Source organism: Homo sapiens, chromosome 2 (assembly GCF_000001405.40).
Source record: "Homo sapiens chromosome 2, GRCh38.p14 Primary Assembly".
Lineage (NCBI taxonomy): Eukaryota > Metazoa > Chordata > Mammalia > Primates > Hominidae > Homo > Homo sapiens.
In genome coordinates this window covers 69,193,421-69,212,584 of record NC_000002.12, presented here as the reverse complement: position 1 = coordinate 69,212,584, position 19,164 = coordinate 69,193,421, and the positions used below count along the sequence as shown (strand labels likewise).

The window sequence follows — 19,164 nt, the reverse complement described above, 5'->3', positions numbered from 1 at the left end:
ATAGTACAAATATAAATATGTATCTATTTTATCATAAAGCATAGGTTAGGTTAAGGGGTCACAGTCTGCGCCTGCTCTTAGGTATTGCACTCACTGGTTAGAGCTGACACCTTATGAATGGGCACTGCCCTGCAGCTAAGTGTGGCATGGTGCCAGGAACACCTCCTGGGAGCTGCCTTGGATGGTCATATACGCAGAACCTCATGGATCTTCTTTTCCACTAAGTACTCAAGGCTGCGCTCCCTGGGCTTTGCCTCTTACCTACACTCAATCAAAGTACCACGTCCAAGGTCCTGTGAAATTCTCTTTCCCACTGTCACCTCCCTGGTTTTCTCCTCTCTTTCTCTACTCCTCCCATCCTCCTCCTCCCCTCCCCTACTTCTTTCTTTGTGATTCTCCTCTTTTATCTCCTTCCTGTTTTTCTTCTTCTTTAATAAAGAATTTACTAATTCTACCATATGCAAGGTATTAGAGATAGAGGTAGAAGCCAGCTATCAAAAGCTAAATGAGTGTGACATAAAGCAATATTAAGATGGTCTGAGGCACAAGGCATCTCCAGTCCTGGTAGGGATGAGCAAAGCTTTCCAGAGAAGAAAGGACTTGGGTTGACTTACAACGAGAGGAGTGGGTTGACTTACAATGAGAAGAGAAGGAACAGCATAATTTGGGCCGGGGGTGGTGTGAGCAGAGGTCCACAGGTGGGAATACATATGGTGAGTAGGCTGAAATAGCGTCTTGGGGGCAGTCTGCCTTGTGCAGGACTCCTGAGAAGCAGGCAGCGTCTGACTGTGGAGGGCACTAGGGGAAGCCCTTCTTAGTCAGTCCCGCATTTCCCAAAGTGCCTTTCACAGACTGTTAGTCCCAAGTGATGCTCTATGAAAACAGATCAGTAATTTACAAGTTTGGGAAATGCTGCGTATGTTCCCCCTTTGGAGATTCCCAATGCATGTTGGCTTATTAAAGCATCTTTGAAGTCCTGCAGAGAAAAAGCCCTCTTTAACACTAAGTGCAACAATTTCCAAATGTATTTGACACCTATGAACAGCTGCAGAATAATTATTCCACAAAACACACCTTGTGTGGGCAGGCAGTGGGAACCAGTGAAGGTGTTTAAGGGAGTGTAGTTCTTTGGTGTGTAGGAGTAAAAATTCCCTTATGTCAGAGAGAGATGCATGTGGAGTCTACACAGATGTGCCCAACACCTGCTGGCACAGTTGATCCCGCTCTGTGTTCTGGGGAAGAGAGTAGTTGTGCTGGTAAGTGAAGAAGGGTGGGTTTGCATTCCTTAGCACTGACAGCATGTATTGCCCTTGGGAATTAATGAAGTTCAGCCTATATGCCAAGAAAATGTTTTCACTGGCTGGAGAAGAAGTTGCATATACATATGCATGCATGTGTAAACTTTTGCTGACTGGCAACCTGTTTTGATCTCATACCCTCCCTGTTTCTCCTTGTTTAACCAGAGCCCGAGGGTATCCTCTAAGGAAAATCTTAGGTAACACCTCCTCTCTGTAGCCTTTTCGGACCAGCCCTTGCCTCTGGCTTGTCACTTCCACCCAAGATCTCTCTCTTCTTTATCTTACTGCCAGTGGCAAACAAATTATCACTTTGTGACAACCATCTGGTTCTTTTTTTTTTTTTTTTTTTTTGTGATGGAGTCTCACTCTGTCGCCCAGGCTGGAGTGCAGTGGCACGATCTCAGCTCACTGCAACCTCCACCTCCCATGTTCAAGTGATTCTTGTGCCACAGCCTGCCAAGTAGCTGGGACTATAGGCCTGTGCCACCATACCTGGCTAATTTTTGTATTTTTGTTAGAGACGGGGTTTCGCCATGTTGGCCAGGCTGGTCTCAAACTCCTGACCTCAAGTGATCCACCCCTGTCGGCCTCTGAAAGTGCTGGGATTACAGGCCTGAGCCAGCATACCCAGCCAACATCTGGTTCTTACGTACAATTTTCCTCCCCCATTCCCTACTAAGGAGTGTGTAACTATGCTGTGCTGCAGGGTGCTTTGTACATTTGCCGATGACTGCATATATGACATTGCATGCTTCTGGTTTTTTGGTTTTCAAATGGTAGTGTGTCATATGAATATGTGAACAGCTCATCTTCCTGCCAGCCAAAAGGAGAGTGAAAGAATAAAATCATTTTGGTTATTCCCACTGACACGATTTTGGAATATAGCAAGGCCTCCTTATTCACCTTGAATGTGTTTCTAAAGGTCAACATGAACAATTAAGACGCTAACAGCTAGGCAGGACAATGAATTAACAAAGCAAAACAAAGGGGTGATAAATAATGACAATCTGTCAGTGTTTCATTTTGTCTTCTGGGCATTATTACGGGGTGAACAGAAATTAGATTTCCCTGGGCAGAGTGTTTTTGGATGGACACTGCAGGAGTGAAGAGAGCTGGAGGGACAGTCAGGTGTAAAGAGGGATAAGCCATCCATCAGCCAGTCTCATTGGCTTTATCTCCAAAAAACTTCAGACTCCATCCACTTCTCACCATTTCTACTGGGTCCACACTCATCTACCACCATCGCCTCTCATCCGGGACTCCAACCTTGTCACTGATCTCCCGGCTTCACTCTGGTCTCTGTATAACTGATTCTTCCCACTTCATCCCTGGTCATCTTTGTAGAATGTTAATTAGAGGCAGGCAGTATTCAAGTGTGGAGGATGCTAGGGCACTTGTCTCCCCCCTGCTAAGCCCTCCCCTCCATGTTACATCCAGAGTAAAATCCAAATGTCTTTCCTCAGGTTACAAGCCTGCCTGCATGGCCATCTCCCCTGCTGTCTCTGACCTTACTGCCCACCCATCACCGCTGGCCTCTGAGTTCCTCCAACATGCCAAGCTCTTTCCAGCCTTGCAGGCCTTGTGCCTGCTGCTGTCCCCTGATCTTAACGTAGCAGCTCCCTCTTGTTATTCAGATCTCATCTTCAATGTCGCCTCTTTAGAGAGGGCTTTTCCCACCATGCAGCCTAGATATCTATTGTCTTTCCACTCATCACACTGTTTTGATTCTTAGTAGAGCACTTAACACTTGGGTGCTGTGAATCCTAGGATACAAACTCCATGAAAGGACCATATCCTTGTTTACTAGTGTTTAGCACAACAAATAAACATGTGTTGAAAGAATAAATGCTAGTTCCTCTGTTTATCAGCTGTGGGGCACAGGCACTCGAGCCCTCTGTAAAGATAATTTCCCAGTATGTAAAACAGGAATGGGAACAACTGTGTCACAGGGTCAGAATAAATATATTAGAAAATAATTGTAAATTATATGGCTCTCGTCAAACATGAACCATCATTATTGCTCTAGTCAACTCAGGTTCCTTTTTGTAAAGTGAGGATAATATTTGCTTCTCAGGAATTTTTCAAAGATAAAGTAGATCAGATAATCCAATAAATGTACAGATACTTAGAACAAGGTTTTAAAGGATGCAAGTTCTTCTCTGTGATGATGTTGCAGGGAAGAAGCAGTAGAGAGACCTTGAATGCTTGTTTGCTTTAATAAAACAACGTGGTAGCAGGCACCTGTAATCTCAGCTACTTGGGAGGCTGAGGCAGGAGGATCACTGGAGCCTGAGAGGTCGGGGCTGCAGTGAGCTGTGATAGTGACACTGCACTCCAGCCTGGGTTAAGAGAATGGGATGCCATCTCAAAAGAAAACACCCCAAACACCTAACATGCTGGCTTAGAGCATGCAGGACTTCTGCCTAAAAATAAGAAGTTTGGGATAGGAATTGGCCCAGAAAGGCAAAGTCACAGCTGACCTAATAGAAAACCAGAAAGGGCAGAGATCCATAATTTCTGAAATTCTTACTGTGAATAAAAACCAAAATAGTTGAAGAACTCAGGGCCTGTATGGAAATCATGTCATTCCCCCTTCTCACAAGTGTCTTCCAGACCAGTCCTCTGGACCAGCGTGTCCAACAGACACATAACATAAACCACATGGGCCTTTTAAGTTTTCTAGTAACCACATTTATAAAACATAAAAAGAGACAGGTGAAATTAACTTTACTAATATATCTTATTTAACCCAATATATGTAGAATGTTATTTCAGCTTAATATAAAAATCACTAAAGAAATATTTCCTATTCTTTTTTTCATATTACTTCCCTGAAAATCCAGAGTATATTTTGCATTTATAGCACATGTCATTTCTCACTAGCCACATTCAGGTGCTCAATAGCCACATGTGACTAGTGGCTGCCTTTTTGGATAGTCAGCTCTAGATTTTACTTTTGAGATGTTCAGGATCTAAAAACATCTTTTGCTACTTGTGGGGGTAAGAAGGGAGGCCACAATTTTTAAAAATGTGAGTCAGTTTGTAATCCCACTGACAGCAGCAGGGGGCAGACAAATGCCTAGGCAAACAGGGGTGGGTCCCCAGCAAAACCCCACCTCCAAGTTGAAAAGAATTTAAAGCCTGAAAGCCAAGCTACAAGTCAAATCCACAGACCGGATTGAGAACCCCTCTTCCTTTTTGACACAATTTCCTCTGATGGATCCCACCCTTTATCTATTTTACATATACCTACCCTTTCCTAATTGGTTTTCTACACTGTTGTGCCTACCTTTGAATGTCTTTGCTTTAACCATTTTTGCATACTCACAAACCAATCAGCATGCACTTCCCATTCTGAGTTCATAAAAAGCCCCAGACTCAGCCACACTGGGGGAGAGAGAAACCACCTGACTATGTCTCCACTAAGATCTGTTCCGTCGCTCAATAAAATTCTTCTCCACCTTCAAATTGTCAGCATATCTTTATTCTTCTTGGATGTGGGACAAGAGCTTGGGAACCGCTGAATGTGGGTACAAGCTATAACACAGGGTGGGGTGTGGGGGGTGTTGCCAGCGGAGGTCCCAGTTGGCAAATTGGCCGAGAAAAATCCTGCTTCACTACCAAGTTGCCTAGTGTTTTTCTACACATGAAGGAAAAAGCCATGGTCAACTCTTCCACTGGCCAGTGAAGAGCTTAAAAGAAAATTCTCTTAAAATTTTAAGTTCCTGTCATGGAAATATTTTTATCCTCTGATCTCCACAGATGCTTTACTACATGTAAAACTGTACGTGAAACTGCATCTCTCTCTTTTTCTCTCTCTTCGGGCAGTGCTAGGAAGATTACTCACAAAAAGTCAAATCACATCCCCCATTCTAATGTTGGTATTTCTGGGGAAGCCTTATGGAAAGCTGCGTTTTTTCATGGGGGAACAGTTTGTGCCATGGTTTTACAAAGCTAAAGAATTTCAATAGTCAAACTGTTGCCATAAAAAAATCAAACTTAGGAATAGAACTAAACATGTTATTAACAGAATAGGCTTGAGAGAGCAAGAGAATTCTTTTGGAGTAAAGTTATCCAAAGTCTATGTGTTCTCCTTTGACACATAAATCTACTATCGACCTAGTCTTGGACTTTTTTTTTGGACAGAAATTGGGTAAGTTTTGCAAAAGACAGGCACAAAGCCTGGCTGTGGATGACACCCTGAGGGTCAGAACATTCATTACAGCATTGGCGTCTACAGAAATTTGAAAACACAGCAATGTTGCTGGATAAAATTGGCATTTTCATATGGGCAGGGTAACCTTTTTGGAAGCCTTCATGTTGCTTAAGGGTGGCCTGCTGTGGGACACAGATGTATGGGTTTCTGACTTGATGCAAATTGCTTGTAAGGTCCAGTTTTTGCTAAGAGATTCTATTTTGATCCATTACTAAATATATTTGCAACTTGAGGCCCACCAGCAGTGGATCTACTGCAGAACACACTAGTGCAGCTGATGAGGTGCTGTGGGACCATGGGATATGGGCAGTTCTCATGGGCTTATTCCTGATTTTGGGGGGTGTGCTTATTGTTTACAAGCACAGAGGGTGGCCTCAGCTCTGCAGCTTCCTTGGCTATCTCTGGAGGACTGCATGGCATCCCCTAGGCCTACAGATGTGGTGGGACACTAAAGCAATGGCTTCAGGAACTCTGCTAAGCTTGCTCCCACTACACACTCATCTTTCCATTGCTCTCCACCACCATGCCTAAGACAGCCAACCTTGTTGGTCAGAACTACTTCCCTTGTTAGAGAAAGAAGGAAAATAATTTTGTTGCATAGAAACACAGATGATTCCACGGTGGACTTTCCATTAGGCCCACTTTTACTAGTTATACCACTAAGGAGAATGCTGCCCCTTATTATTTCAATTTTCCAGACTCTGTGACATTTAGGGTTTTCCATTACAATTCACCTTTAATAAGCAGGAAAGTAAATGGAAAGGCTTATAAAAGATTTATTCCCATTTAAAGCTTGTACTTAAGTCAGGGCCACAGAGTCCTTGAAACATAGGTGTTGCAGTAATTGAGGCCAGTCAATGCCTGGGTGTCAGCTGGTGGGGCCACACCATTCAGTGAAGCAACCAAATTCAGACGCTGGGGGCAAACACAGAAATGGACAGAGGTGCTGAATGCTAGAGGAATGGAATGAGCACCCTCACAACTAGCTCTGTCATCACTGTGGATTCTCAACGTGACACTGCTCTCAATGGTATCAGCCAAAAAGAAAAAAAATGGAAAAACACTAATATTAAACAAATGTTATAGGAACGAATTTGTAAAGTGAGACTGGTAAAGCCTTGGAGAGTTTTTTAAAAATGAATTTTCTATTTTCAAACAAACTTAAAGAAAAGTTATTAATAAATGGCAATGACAAAGTATGAATAGCAATTATAATAAAAGTTTAGTGTTTTAAAGTTTTAATCAGCCTCATTTTATCTGGACATGTCCCTAGAAGACCTTGTGAATTCTCTCTCCTTATTAAGAGACGGAGGATTCATTCAGATGTCCCCTTGCCTGTGACTCAAATGCAGTTTCCTATGAAGTTTGCAAACAGCTGTGGCCTGGAGGTTGCAGAAAAAAACCATACTCCCTGGGACAAGGAAACAAATTGAGCTAGGTCCTCAGTGCTGTGAGGGAAAGTTAAAAAAAAAAAAAAAAGCCATGGTTCATTCCCTCAAATTGCTTACAACTTATTCAGGGAGTGAAAAGTCAGTATTGGTTAAAATTAACTTGGTGCTAAACTTTGTGGCTGTAAGCGGAGGAGGAAGGAAGGGCCAGACAATGAGCCTTGACTGGGAGAAGGTCTTGGGCTTTGGCTGAGTACTGAGTGCCTGAAGGATTTGGGTGGACAAAGACTGGAGAAGGTGGAGCTTGCAGGTGGGGGCTGCTGCACTCCCTACCCTCCCTGGTTGCAGGCCTGTGTGTCCTCTCTCAGTTCTTCTCCCTTCTGGCCTTTTACACATGCTGTTCCTCCAACTAGAAGGCGGCCCTTCTCTCCCTGCACTGGGAGAGTTTGTCCTTCGGATCTCAGCCAAATGGTCTCTTCTCTTTGGAAGTATGCCCTGATGCCCTAGCCTGGGTTAAATCTTCTGGCTCTATGCTCCCAGAGAACTCCAAACTCCCCCTCATACTATCTACCATGTGGAGCTGTAATTTAGTGATCTTTTCTGACCACTCCAGTGTACACTCCACAAGGGCAGGGATCTCGCCTTGTTCATGCTAAATCCCCACTGCCTAGCTTGGTGCCTGCTGGAGAGTGGGAGCTCAGGATGTATTAACTGGATGAATGGAATTTCTGTCCTAGACACAGTGTTGGTGGTAAAGTGGGAGGCAGCGAGAGGTGGAATCAGGGAGAGCATGAGGTGATCTGGGAGCACAGCATCCTGTGCAGGAGAGCAGCCCCATGTGGGAGGATATCAATGGGTATGTCATCTTGGGCAGGATATAAAAATGGAAAGGTACTGGGAGGTGGGAAGAGGTAGGAGGACAGGAAGGGAAGGGATTGGGCGGCAAGGACTAACTCTGCCTTCTCCTCAAGAGATAAGGCTGAGTCTGGATGCTTATCCTCCTCTCATGGCCTGGGGTGAGGACTCAAGGAGAGCCAGGCAGTGTCGAGCTGGTGGGTTTCCAGTCTTGCCATTTCCACCAACACTCTTTGTGACCTTGAAAAGAGCAGAGATCTTATCTGAGCCTCATCTTTCCTATATTAAAAAGAGGATAAAGTAAGAAGGTGATGGGGAACAGATAAGATAATGGACCTGGGAGGGCTCGGGAATCTCTCCAGACCACCTTTCCAGACCTCAGCTTTGGTGCCTCTAAAATGAAGGGTCTGGGATTATGAGGAACTGCCAGTCCAACTCCGAGACTGAGGGTCAGGTTGAGTTGGGGTGGTCATGGAGATGCTGAACGAAGATGGGTGTGTGTGGATGTTTTATAGCAGGCTGGCTCTTCCCCACACTGTTCAAAAGCCTATTTCCTAGGTCAGATTTTGCCATCTATAATCTAACCCAATACTTTCTGGCCAGAACAGAACTTCCCACCAGCATGGATTCTGATGATTCTTAATTGAGGCCCATCACGGAGATGCTGAATGTCCCTCGAGATGATCTTTTTTGGTGCCATCAGCTGGAGGAGCAGGCCCGCAGAAGCCAAGTGGCTAGACATGATCATCATGCTTAGACAAAGTAGCAAACCTCCTAAAATATTACACACTTGGGTAAAATTCTGACCCTAGAGCTAATCCCTACCTCCCTCAATCCTGATTTTGTTTGGAAGGGAAAAAATGAGGTCGGAGAATTTGAACAGGGTTGCTTTATTCCCATCCCTGTCTGGTTCAGCCTTAGCATTTACTTCTCTGTTTGCTATTTGCAACCTGATTCCAGGACTCGACCTTCTGTTGTTGCAGCTGTTTGGGAGATGAGACAATCTGAAGTTGAAAGTCCTACAAGTTGAAATTGAAAGAAGCTACAAAATGATGATGATGATGATGATGATGGTGATAATAAGGAGGAGGAGGAATGTGTGTGAATGTGAGTGTGTAATGCTTGTGGAAAAAGGGGGATCAGATTGTGAGGATTGGAAGAGAGGGAGAGGGAGGGGGAAAGAGAGAGGGAGAGGAAGATTGCTCAACCATAGCAATTGCTTTCATACGTATTTACTCAGAGACAGTTCCTACCATGGGAGAAAGAAGTTGGTGCAAAAAAAATCCCAAGATGGTATATTTTGCAGCATCAACTTTGGGTTTAACATCTCTGAAAAAAGTTAACTTTGCAGGTTTTGGGTACAGTTGGTTTTTGCTGTGGACAGAGAGTGTTTTGAACTTTTTATTCCTTAAATTCAGCTAACTCAGCCAAAAATTCTAAGTACTCATGTCCCCCTCCAATGAGACAGCAAAGGAGAGGCTTCCAAGGGTGAGAACTGAATGAATACTACAGAGAATTCAAACATCCAGGGAAGATGGCTGTGCCAGAATAAATCACACCCTCTAGGAACATTTCCTATAATTTGCTCTTTTTTCTTCCTTTTTCTTAAAATGATCCGTTTCTTACAAAAATTTATAAAAGGTCAGGAGACTTTCCCTCCAGATCTGTTGGGACCTTATACCTGGTGTCAGATAGGAATTCTGAAGATGTCCATTTACACAACATAAAGAGCTAATGTAAACTTAATTGTTTATTGTGCAAGAAAAACGACTTTCATGTAAGACTTCAATATGTAGATAACTTGGTTCTTTTGGTCATTGCTGGTTTGAACATAAAATAATTCTGAGAAAAAGTTTTTCCTACAGGTTAAGAGGTAATTAAAATTCTCTGAAATCAATGGCAGTTTTCAGGGAGAAGGAAGGGAAGAAAATAAGCTCCCATCTTTTCAAATTATTTATACCTACCATTTTATTTAATCCTGAGACATTCACTCTGGAATGTGGAGAAGTGCTGCCAGCATAGGAGCAATGGGGTTCCCAAGGTGTGGCTGTTTCCAGGAGCTCCAGTTCCAGCTCCTCCACTCCTCCAGCCACATCACAGGGAGAACAGAGCCCATCACTTCCCACAGGGATGTCCTCACTTCCTGCCCTCTCACTCATACCTGGGATCTACAACCCATGTCACTAAGGAGGACTGGCACTTCCTCCTAAGCCCTCCAACCCCTTCTCCTAAGAGTTCCTGCAGTCTAACAGTGAGTTCTTGTCTTCAACCCCTTCCTCTACTGGATCTCTGCCACACGCACTTAATCACGCTCAAGTCTTACTAAGACAAAGAACTCTTTCCAATTCTAGATCTCCTCCAGCTACTGCCTTGGCTCTCCCTCCCATTGTTTGTTAAGCTTTGCTCCCAACCCCATCATCCCACAGAGCTCGGGTCACTAAGGGCACCATAACCTCCTTACTGCTAATCTTATTAGATGATTGCTCTCAGTTTGCATCTTAATTTCCCATCACTTGACACTCCACCCTCCTCCATAATGTATTATTTTCCCTTGGCTTCCATGACCCCAGACTTTCCTCTTACAACTTCTCTTTCTCTTGGCTGGTCCTTCTTAGTCGTCTTCTTGCTCTATTTCTTTTCTCCACCCTGACTTAAAGGATGTGACCCTCAGGGTTCAGTGCTTAACTTCTTCTCTCTACCCCTCTCCCTGGTTTCCCCTCTAGTCACATTGGTCTCAACTGCCATGGCCAATGACTCTCAGATCTTTGCCTGCAGCCCAAAACTCTCACTGGAGCAAAACTGCCCCCTGACTAGGGTGAGGCATGCGAGGTGTCTAGGGCACAAAATTTAAGGAGGCATGTACTCGCAGGTCCCTACTTTCACACAACCCTGACAGTGAGCAACCCAGAGAGTTCCTGCCCTAGATGCCTTCATGCTTCCCCCTGGTCCTGACCTGCTGCAGGTCCTTTTTGTTTGGATGTCCCACAGGCACTGTGAACTCCACAAGTTAAAAAGTGACGTCCTCATCTTCCCTCGCAAAGCTGTCCTCATCCTGGTGAATGGCAGGCAGCACAGTCAGCAATGTCGCTTGGGCCAAATCCTGGAGGTCCTCCTTCACACTTTCTACCCTCTCATCCTCTACACCCAGGCAGTTACCAAATCTGTGATTATTTGCTCAATATCTTGTGAATCCAAGCTGTCTTCCTTGCCCACCACTCTGCACTTCAGGGTGCCAGCCTCTCTCACTGCCGCTATGTCCACACTGCAGCCAGTGCGACCTTTCTAAAATGCACATCCGATTGCGCCTCTGCTTAAAACTCTTGCAGTAAGTCTCTACTGTCCTCAGGGTGGAGTACAGCCTCGTCAGGCTGGCAGAGCAGGCTCCCACGGCCGGCAACTCAGGTTCCTCTTCACCACAGTCCCTCCTCTCAGTGCCTCCCACTCTGTCCTCCTCTGTACCCTGCTCCTTGTGTCTCCCTGAAGGAGCCACAGTCTCACCTGCAGATCTGTATGCAAGCTTCCCTGTCACTAGAATATTCTACCTCCCCAACTCCATTCCCCCTTCTTGTCTTAGCTTAAATGTCCATTCAAGAAGGCATTTGGACTCCAAGGCTGGTGAGATGCCTTTCCTGGGTATAGCTCCCACACCTCATGTGCTCAGCTCCATCACAGAGCCTTTCACACCAGGCAGTGTTTGGGAGCTTCCTGTTTGTCCCTGTTCCTCGAGGGCAGGGACAGGGCTCATTCATTAATCTTGAATATCAAGCACTAATACAGTGCTCATTGGCTCTTAGAAGACATCTAACAACTATGGGTTGAATGCATGAAGGAGTTCAGGAATCCCTAGTGTTGACTTTCAAGTCTGAAAGTCCTAAATTCAAGCCCCAGACCTCCTTACCAGCTGTGTGTCCTTGGAAAAGTTAGTAATTTTCCCTGAGCCTCAATTTCTGTTCTTTAAAATGGAGATCATCATTACCCCAAGTTACTGTGAATGGGTTTATGCTTCTGTAAACATTTGCAGTTCATACAGTGCATGACACTCTCTTCTCTTGCACACCATACATACATACATACATACATGAACTCCTGGAAGCCAGAGTTTAGTCCTCTGCTAATGGATATCCCTAGTGCTCAGCCCAGAAATGGATTCTTAGTGGGAGTGCAATTGGTTTTTGTTGAGGGAAAGCAGCCATGGCAGGCCTTAGAAATTGGCAGTGAACAGGGAAAAGAAAAAAAGGAAAGGGGTTAGAAGAAAGAGGGAATGCAGGAAATGTGAAGGAGAGAGAAGAGAGGAGAGAGAATGCAAGAGTGCAGACACTTTCTCTGAGGCCTGCTACAGGAGGCTTATCTGCTTTAGAAGGACTGGGCAGAGGATAACCTCTCTCCTGGAGGATAACCTGCCCAGGCTATTCTCGCCTCTGCGACAGTAGGGAGACATGGTGCCCATGTGACTGGCCTCACGCCCTTATTGGAAACAGCTGGGGAGGATTTCACAACCTCTGAGGCTTCAGATGAGTTTCAAACATTGTTTATGTACATTTACGTGTGTGTTTCCCTGGGTCTCTTCTGGTTGCAAGGAGATCCAGGCTTGCAAAACAAGCCCTGAGTGAGCTTTAGTATTTTGTTCTTGCAGATAGTAATGGAATGTACCGGCCTCCTGATGCCAGATCTGAAAACAGATGACATCCAAACCCAGTGGGTTCTCTGGGAGCACGTGAAGTGGGATGGAGTTCGATTTGGAGTAAAAGTGACTGGGGAGGGCTCAGGCTGGTTGGTAGATGATTGAATTCCATCCAGAAAAGACATATGAGGCTGAGTTCTATTTTCTCTTTTCCATCTTCTTTACTCAAGCAGTAGCAATGACATGGCAGCCTCAGTCTAGATTAACCATCTTCCTGATAGGAAAGGGACTGTTAAAAGCCCATGAAGAGTGTGATCAGCCTATCTTACTCTTGGGGTTTCTGAAGGAACATGGGGAGTTGCCTTTAAATTGTTTCAAAAAGGAAAGAGAAGATGCTGCCCTGAGTGAAAAAGAGGGAATTGGACCACCTCACTGCTTCTCAACCTTAGATGCCCATTAGAATCACCTGGGGAGGCTTTGTGATTCCCAGGTGATCCTATAAGTGCCCAGACCTCATCACAGAACAATTAAACAGAACCTTTAGGGGGGGACCTTGAAAGCTCTCTAGGTGATAACAATGTGCAAACACATTGAAAACCACTGGAGTCCACGCTCTGATCTCTGAATTCCCTTATGTTTCTGTGTTTGAAATTAGTAATCTAGGAACAGAATATGTGAAGATGGGAGATTTCTTCACAACTCACTGAGGCTTAATATTTAGATTTAAGGTAGACTAGTTATTCTCCAGTTGTGTCAATAGGTGCTCTATGGAGAAATATAGAAAAGGGGCGGCTTGGTGGCCAAAGCAGTATAGAAATATTGCCTAGGACCCCAGACTCTCAGGGTGAGAGGTACTCTGAAGTTTGTTTGGTTCCTTATCTTACTGGTTTTCAAAGTGTAATCCCCAGACCAGCAGCATCAGCATCACATGGGAGTTTGTTAGAAATGCTAATTCCCAGGCTCCACCCCAGAACTTCTGAATCAGAAACTCCGAGCATGGGTTCAGCAAGCTGTGCTTTAACAAACCTTCTAGGTGATTCTGATGCTCAAGTTTGAGAACCATTGATCTGCTACAGGAATCCCCTGTGTCCTGGCCTAGTGGTTAATTTGTCTTATCCGTGTTTGGTAACATTAGTTACCTGGAGCATTAGTCTCTGGGGCAGCCCGTTGTGTTGTTGAAACTTGCATCCTTCAATTCTTTCTGATGAAATTTGTTTCCCCATTGTTTCTACCTATGGGGCTAGCTCTGTTCAATGGGATGGCCCAGAGTAAATCCAAGTCACTTTCTATTAATACATCCACTTCAAGGCATTCAAGATAATTTTCTAGGACTTCTCATTTAATATAACATATGGCCCATAGCTTCCAAAGGAGCCTTTCCCAAATCTACACTAAAATACTCAGGAAGATGCAGAAAAGGTGACAATTCGCATTACCATCAAAAACAGACCGAGGGGGTGGAAGTGTGGAAGAAAATTTTTGTGAAAATGTATGTTCTCTTGAAGTAGGGGAGGCTTCTCTAAATTTGAAACAAAAGGCAGGAATCATAAATATTTATAGATTTGACTGTAAAATTGTAGAAAACTTGAATATATTTCTAAAAAGTTAAAAGGTAAATGGCAAACTAGAAAAAACTTTGGACATATATTACATGGTTAGACTTTAAATGTCATAAGGATTAAGTACCACATACTTAATGCAAGCACAGGATCTGATACATAGTAGGCTTTCAAAACATTTGATTAATATATGAATGAAGATGGGTTAAGAAAATGATCACAGGAAACCAACACTAAAATATCCAGTGGAAAAATGAGCCAAGTCAAACCAATTGACAAACGAGAAAATAAACATTAAAAAAATCGTTCTACCTCAGTAATAATAAAAAATACAAATTAGCACCTATCAATCAAATAGGTACGTTAATAATATTGAGGAGCATCTGGGGAGATGGGCGTTTCATAGGGGGCTAATGTGAGGGTTAATTTGTATAATCTTTTGAAGGGCAATTATTTGGCCATTTGTATCAAAGCTTTAAAAATTTGCACACTATTTGATCCAGTAGAAAGCTGGACCTTTTATTCTAAGGAAACATTTGTGAATGTGCACAATGATTTGGCAATAAGGATACTGACTGCAGCTTCATTTATAATAATAGATACTTGAAAATCAATCTCCAAAAAGGGAAGATATGCAATGTAATATGACATGGTCATTAAAATGATATTATTCAAGGATATGTAGTGACATGGAAAGATTATTCCTTGACAATGGTGACGTGATAAGAAACAGCTTGCAAAGTGGAATGACACGCCATATCATCATGGACCAAGTAAGTTAAAAAGCTCTCATGACCCCTTGAAGCGTTCTTTCTCAGAACATTCTAAATTCCTTCAACCATTTGCCCTTGAAAGATGAGCAAATTTTCTGAACTCAAAGAGTGGCCAAGCTGTGCAGGAAGCCTTGGGGACCATCCTGGACCATCCTGGGACAGAGGTTCTAACTTCCAAACCTTCTCACCTAGGCTCTGTCAAATGTGTTCTGCTTGGGCAATGCCCCCTTTCAAGCATGAGTCTGGCCAGCAACTTTTTGTATTTACAGGAAACTGTGGGAACAATGAACAATATTACCAAGCTAGGTTCACTCGGTAGAGAGGATGGGAAAGGCATTCCAAGCAGAGAAACCTAGCAAAGGTACAGAGACACAAAATGTCCTGGCATGTTCAGGGCATGACCAGCAATTAATTCCACGTGCTCAGAGCCCATTTGGAGGTGATGAAGGAATCTGGGGTAAGTAGCGTATGAAATGGAAAGGCTTGCCTTTCTAAATCAAGCTAAGGATTCTGGGTTTTCCCACAGTTTTTGCAAGTCTGAAGTGGAGGCATGGTGTGTTGAGGTTTGGTTTTACAAGGAGCACTGTGGTGGCTACCTACTGGGAGCAGGGGACACCATGTGCTTAGTAAATTTTAACAATCTTAGAATCAGATGTGCTACTGGTTTGCTATTTAGGTGGTTTCCTTTGGCACTTTCCCTTTTAAGTTGGCCCAAGCATTTCCTGGTGGGCTCCAAGGAACAATGGGACCATGAGCCCACCGCAGGCAAAAAGAGGGAGACGGGTGATGGCAGATGGAAAACACTCGTGTTCCCTGCTGCCACCCCTGACCTGGGGCTTGGATGGTTCTGAGGAGGTGGGTGCCAATCCCAGGGAAGGGCGGTGGCTCTAGGCTCTGGCTCCCTGAGCCCCTGCTCTGTGCTGAGCTGGAGGCCTTTCAGCAGCCTCAGAGGCTCTGTTGGTGGGCTTGTGTCTGCATCTGGAGGGCTGGGGTGGAGTAGCTGGGGGGAGGATGAAGGAGACAGGAACTAAGGAGGAAAATTTGCCAGGTTTCTGTGAGGTCAACATGTGTCTGAAGCAACTTAGAATGTAACCGAGAATGCAATTAGGTGATTTTTGTTTTTGTTTTGTTTTAAAGAAAAAATTCAGAACCTGTGACTCTTGTTCATGAGCACATGCCTGGATGGAGTCATTTTGAGTTTATGGAAAATGTGGTCAGCTCCATAAATCAGTGCTGAAGAATTCTTACAGACTCACCACCATGCAAGCAAGGCAGGCCTCTCTAGTGAGTCTCCTAAGGTTATGCAAAACAAAACAGAAGAAGCATATAGACAGAGCTACAATATTGCCCCCCCTGCCTCGCCTGGAATTCTTTCCTGAGTAGCCATAGGCAGCTATGAATTCTGGTTCTTACCTCATCTGTGACCTTTCTTGTGTAACTCCATGTGTACATCGTGTGGCTGTTGCCACGGCAACAAGGACACAATTTTCTGTATCGATTTCTCTCATGTATCTTATTTTAGCAAGACTTCCATAAAGAAAGGGCACTTAAAAGTAAACTGGATAATCATAATTTGTAACAGTGTTGAGAGTGTGTTCAAATGTATCCAAATTCTTAAGCTTCTTATATCTCAAATCTATTATTTTGCATGGCTGGAGAATAAAAGTTCAAGGTGGTATTATGTCTCTCAAAAACAGATGGAACATCTTCAGCTGTTAATACAAACTTTCATTCAGAATTGGTAAATAAGAGATTCAATTTAAGTGTGATTCATTAGAGGAAGTTCCATTTATTTTCATTCCATTGTTCTTGGATTTATATAACCAGCATTTTGCTCCCAAACAGCATTGATTCTTCTGTCTTATTAATGATAATATTTCTTTCTATCCAGCCTCTTTCCTATAACCCTCCCACTTCTTAGGTTGACCCAGTTTATGAATTGGTTTCTGCCAAACTGGTCAGTGGAAAATGGAATGTTAACATATTTTAGTGGAGATGTTTTTCAATTGCTGTGAAAAAAAAATGGGGTCATACACTGTATCAGCATCTTGTCACAAAAAAATAGTACTACTGAACCTTAGTTTAGGGATCTTATTATTATTTTTTTCTCAATCTGTCAGAGGAGTCTCATGCATGCTAAAAAAATTTCTTCATTTCCCATAGAAAGCAAATGTATACTTTATAAGACCAAACACCTCCCAGAGTACTAACTATGGCCTATGCTTGTTTCTCCTAACTGTAGAGTTTGTATTTAAAATTTCATATAGAAATTTGGTCTTGTTGACTGTCACAGACAAAAGCTCAAATTCCATATGTGATGAGGGCCAAGTCAACCCAGCATTTATATGAGCTGGTTTCACGTTTTTACTTGCCTGCCATCCTAGTCACAGCAAGAACAGCTAATTGGGCAGTGGCTCACATAAACTATGAAACTTTAGACCAAATCTTCTCAGCTACAAACCACCCACTGTCACCAGGTGCAAGGGGAGGGGGTAGCAGGGCCTGTCTATTGGGCTCTGCTCTAGTGTTCTCTAGTGTTAGCTGTGTCATGCTGGACAGTCAGGAGACCATACACACCAACTGCAATATGGCTTGAAGTTCTGTATCAACCATCCCCAGACAGCAGAACAGCACAGAGTAAATGACCATAAGGATATCTGTCATTGATTGAGCATTTTTTTTTTTCTTTTTCTTTTTTCTTTTTTTTTGAGACAGAGTCTTGCTCTGTTGCCAGGCTGGAGTGCAGTGGTGCAATTTCCACTCACTGCAACCTCCGCCTCCTGGGTTCAAGTGATTCTCCTGCCTCAACCTCCCAAGTAGCTGGGATTACAGGTGCCCACCACCACACCCAGCTAATTTTTGTATTTTTAGTAGAGACAGGATTTCACTATGTTGGCCAGGATGGTCTCGATCTCTTGCCCTTGTGATCCACCCGCCTTGGCCTCCCAAAGTGCTGGGATTACCAGTGTGAGACACCACGCCCGGCCCGAGCATTTCTTTCTTAACAAAAAATTTTTATTTTTTGAGACAGAGTCTCATTCTGTCGCCCAGGCTGGAGCAGTGGTGCGATCTCGGCTCACTGCAACCTCCACCTCCTGGGTTCAAGCAATTCTCCTGCTTCAGTCTCCTGAGTAGCTGGGATTACAGGCATGTGCCACCATACCTAGCTAATTTTTGTATTTTTAGTAGAGATGGGGTTTAACCATATTGGCCAGGCTGGTCTTGAACTCCTGACCTCAAGTGATCTACCTGCCTTTGCCTCCCAAAGTGCTGGGATTACAGGTATGAGCCACGGTGCCCATCCTGATTGAGCATTTCCGTGTGTTCAACAGTGGGCCAAATGCTTTACAAACATTACTTCTCCAACCAGCCACAGTAGGAAGAAGTCCGTGCCATCTACTTTATAAGGATGAAGTTCAGAGAGGTCAGGTGATTTGCCTGGAGCTTTCCAGCCAGGAAGGAAAGGCGGTTCAAACCCAAGTCTGCTTGATTTGAAAGGAGTTCTAAATGAGATACTTTTATTTTGTTTTTGGATTAATGTGCCTGATTCCCAAAGAAATGGATGGAAGATGCAGGTTGCTGGTAGTTGAGGGAAAACTTGGTCCTGAGTTTTGATCTGTAAAACTTGAGGAAGAGAGACTAGCTCTTACATGAAGAAATAGTGATAGTGTTGTTTCGGCAGAACTGAGGTTGTTTCCAGTGTAAGTTACTTGTTACTATTTGAAACAGAACAAGCTATTCAACTTCTCTTGTTTTTTGGAGAATGCAATTAGGTGATTTTTGTTTTTGTTTGTTTTTCTTTCTTCATTTACAAAATGAAGCCATGGGCTGGATGGTTTCTAAGGTCTCCCCTGGCTCTATCTTTCAGGACTGCTCTTGACTAGAGATATTCCAAGCTTAGCCTTGACAATGCCAAGACAAATCCTCACCTGGGGTGAAAGATCCCTCTGGTCCTGGGCTAGCTGGGCCCCACACCTGCTGGGAAGATGGTAGGTGTTTTCTGTGGCCCCTTCCTTGCCCTCACCCCATCCTTGCAGTGCTGGTACTCTGTGATGCACCACTGGCTTGTGTGGCCAGTGGCCAGCAGAGCTCCCTCCTGAAACTGCCCCAAGTAGGGGCCAGTCCTGCTTTATTCTCTCACTGTGCCTATACATTGAGAAGCTCAAATTCTAGGAAGTTAAACCCAACATATTACTGTCAAAATCCTTTTCAGAAAAGCAAATCAAAACTCAAGATCTTGTAATAACCAACATTTTGAAAATCAATGTCTGATTTGTTGCAACATGAAATAATAGCTGGATTTGTAAATCTGGAGTTATTCTAGCTCTGTTTTAGAATCCAAAGTTATTTTAGCTCTACAAAGATGGAGAGAGAAAAAGAATATGTGTGTGTGTGTGTGTGTGTGTGTGTATGTGAGAGAGAGAGAGAGAGACACCATTAATGAATTAACGAGT

At 43.8% G+C, this 19,164-nt stretch overlaps 1 protein-coding gene and 1 long non-coding RNA gene across 2 annotated transcripts in view, besides 3 other annotated features; both read right to left on the bottom strand.

The window, feature by feature from the left end:
• The window catches only part of ANTXR1 (ANTXR cell adhesion molecule 1), a 236,184-nt gene that overhangs the window by 36,743 nt on the left and 180,277 nt on the right, over positions 1-19,164 (bottom strand). The window lies entirely within an intron of this gene.
• The window catches only part of LOC124906019 (uncharacterized), a 31,470-nt gene extending 12,306 nt beyond the window's left edge, over positions 1-19,164 (bottom strand). The window contains exon 1 of the long non-coding RNA XR_007086799.1: positions 1-19,164. This exon is cut by the window's left edge and continues 11,805 nt beyond it. This is a non-coding gene — a long non-coding RNA (uncharacterized LOC124906019).
• Positions 2,442-2,945: an enhancer, noted in NCBI's record as "OCT4-NANOG hESC enhancer chr2:69436772-69437275 (GRCh37/hg19 assembly coordinates)". NCBI's record gives its function as "activates a minimal SCP1, AML or CMV promoter by ChIP-STARR-seq in naive H9 embryonic stem cells {active_cell/tissue: H9 hESC(naive)}" and the evidence as "EXISTENCE:reporter gene assay evidence [ECO:0000049][PMID:30033119]".
• Positions 2,946-3,450: an enhancer, noted in NCBI's record as "OCT4-NANOG hESC enhancer chr2:69436267-69436771 (GRCh37/hg19 assembly coordinates)". NCBI's record gives its function as "activates a minimal SCP1, AML or CMV promoter by ChIP-STARR-seq in naive H9 embryonic stem cells {active_cell/tissue: H9 hESC(naive)}" and the evidence as "EXISTENCE:reporter gene assay evidence [ECO:0000049][PMID:30033119]".
• Positions 14,773-15,972: an enhancer, noted in NCBI's record as "CDK7 strongly-dependent group 2 enhancer chr2:69423745-69424944 (GRCh37/hg19 assembly coordinates)". NCBI's record gives its function as "activates an origin of replication core promoter dependent on BRD2, BRD4, P300/CBP, MED14 and CDK7 cofactors, with strong dependence on CDK7, by STARR-seq in HCT116 cells {active_cell/tissue: HCT116}" and the evidence as "EXISTENCE:reporter gene assay evidence [ECO:0000049][PMID:35650434]".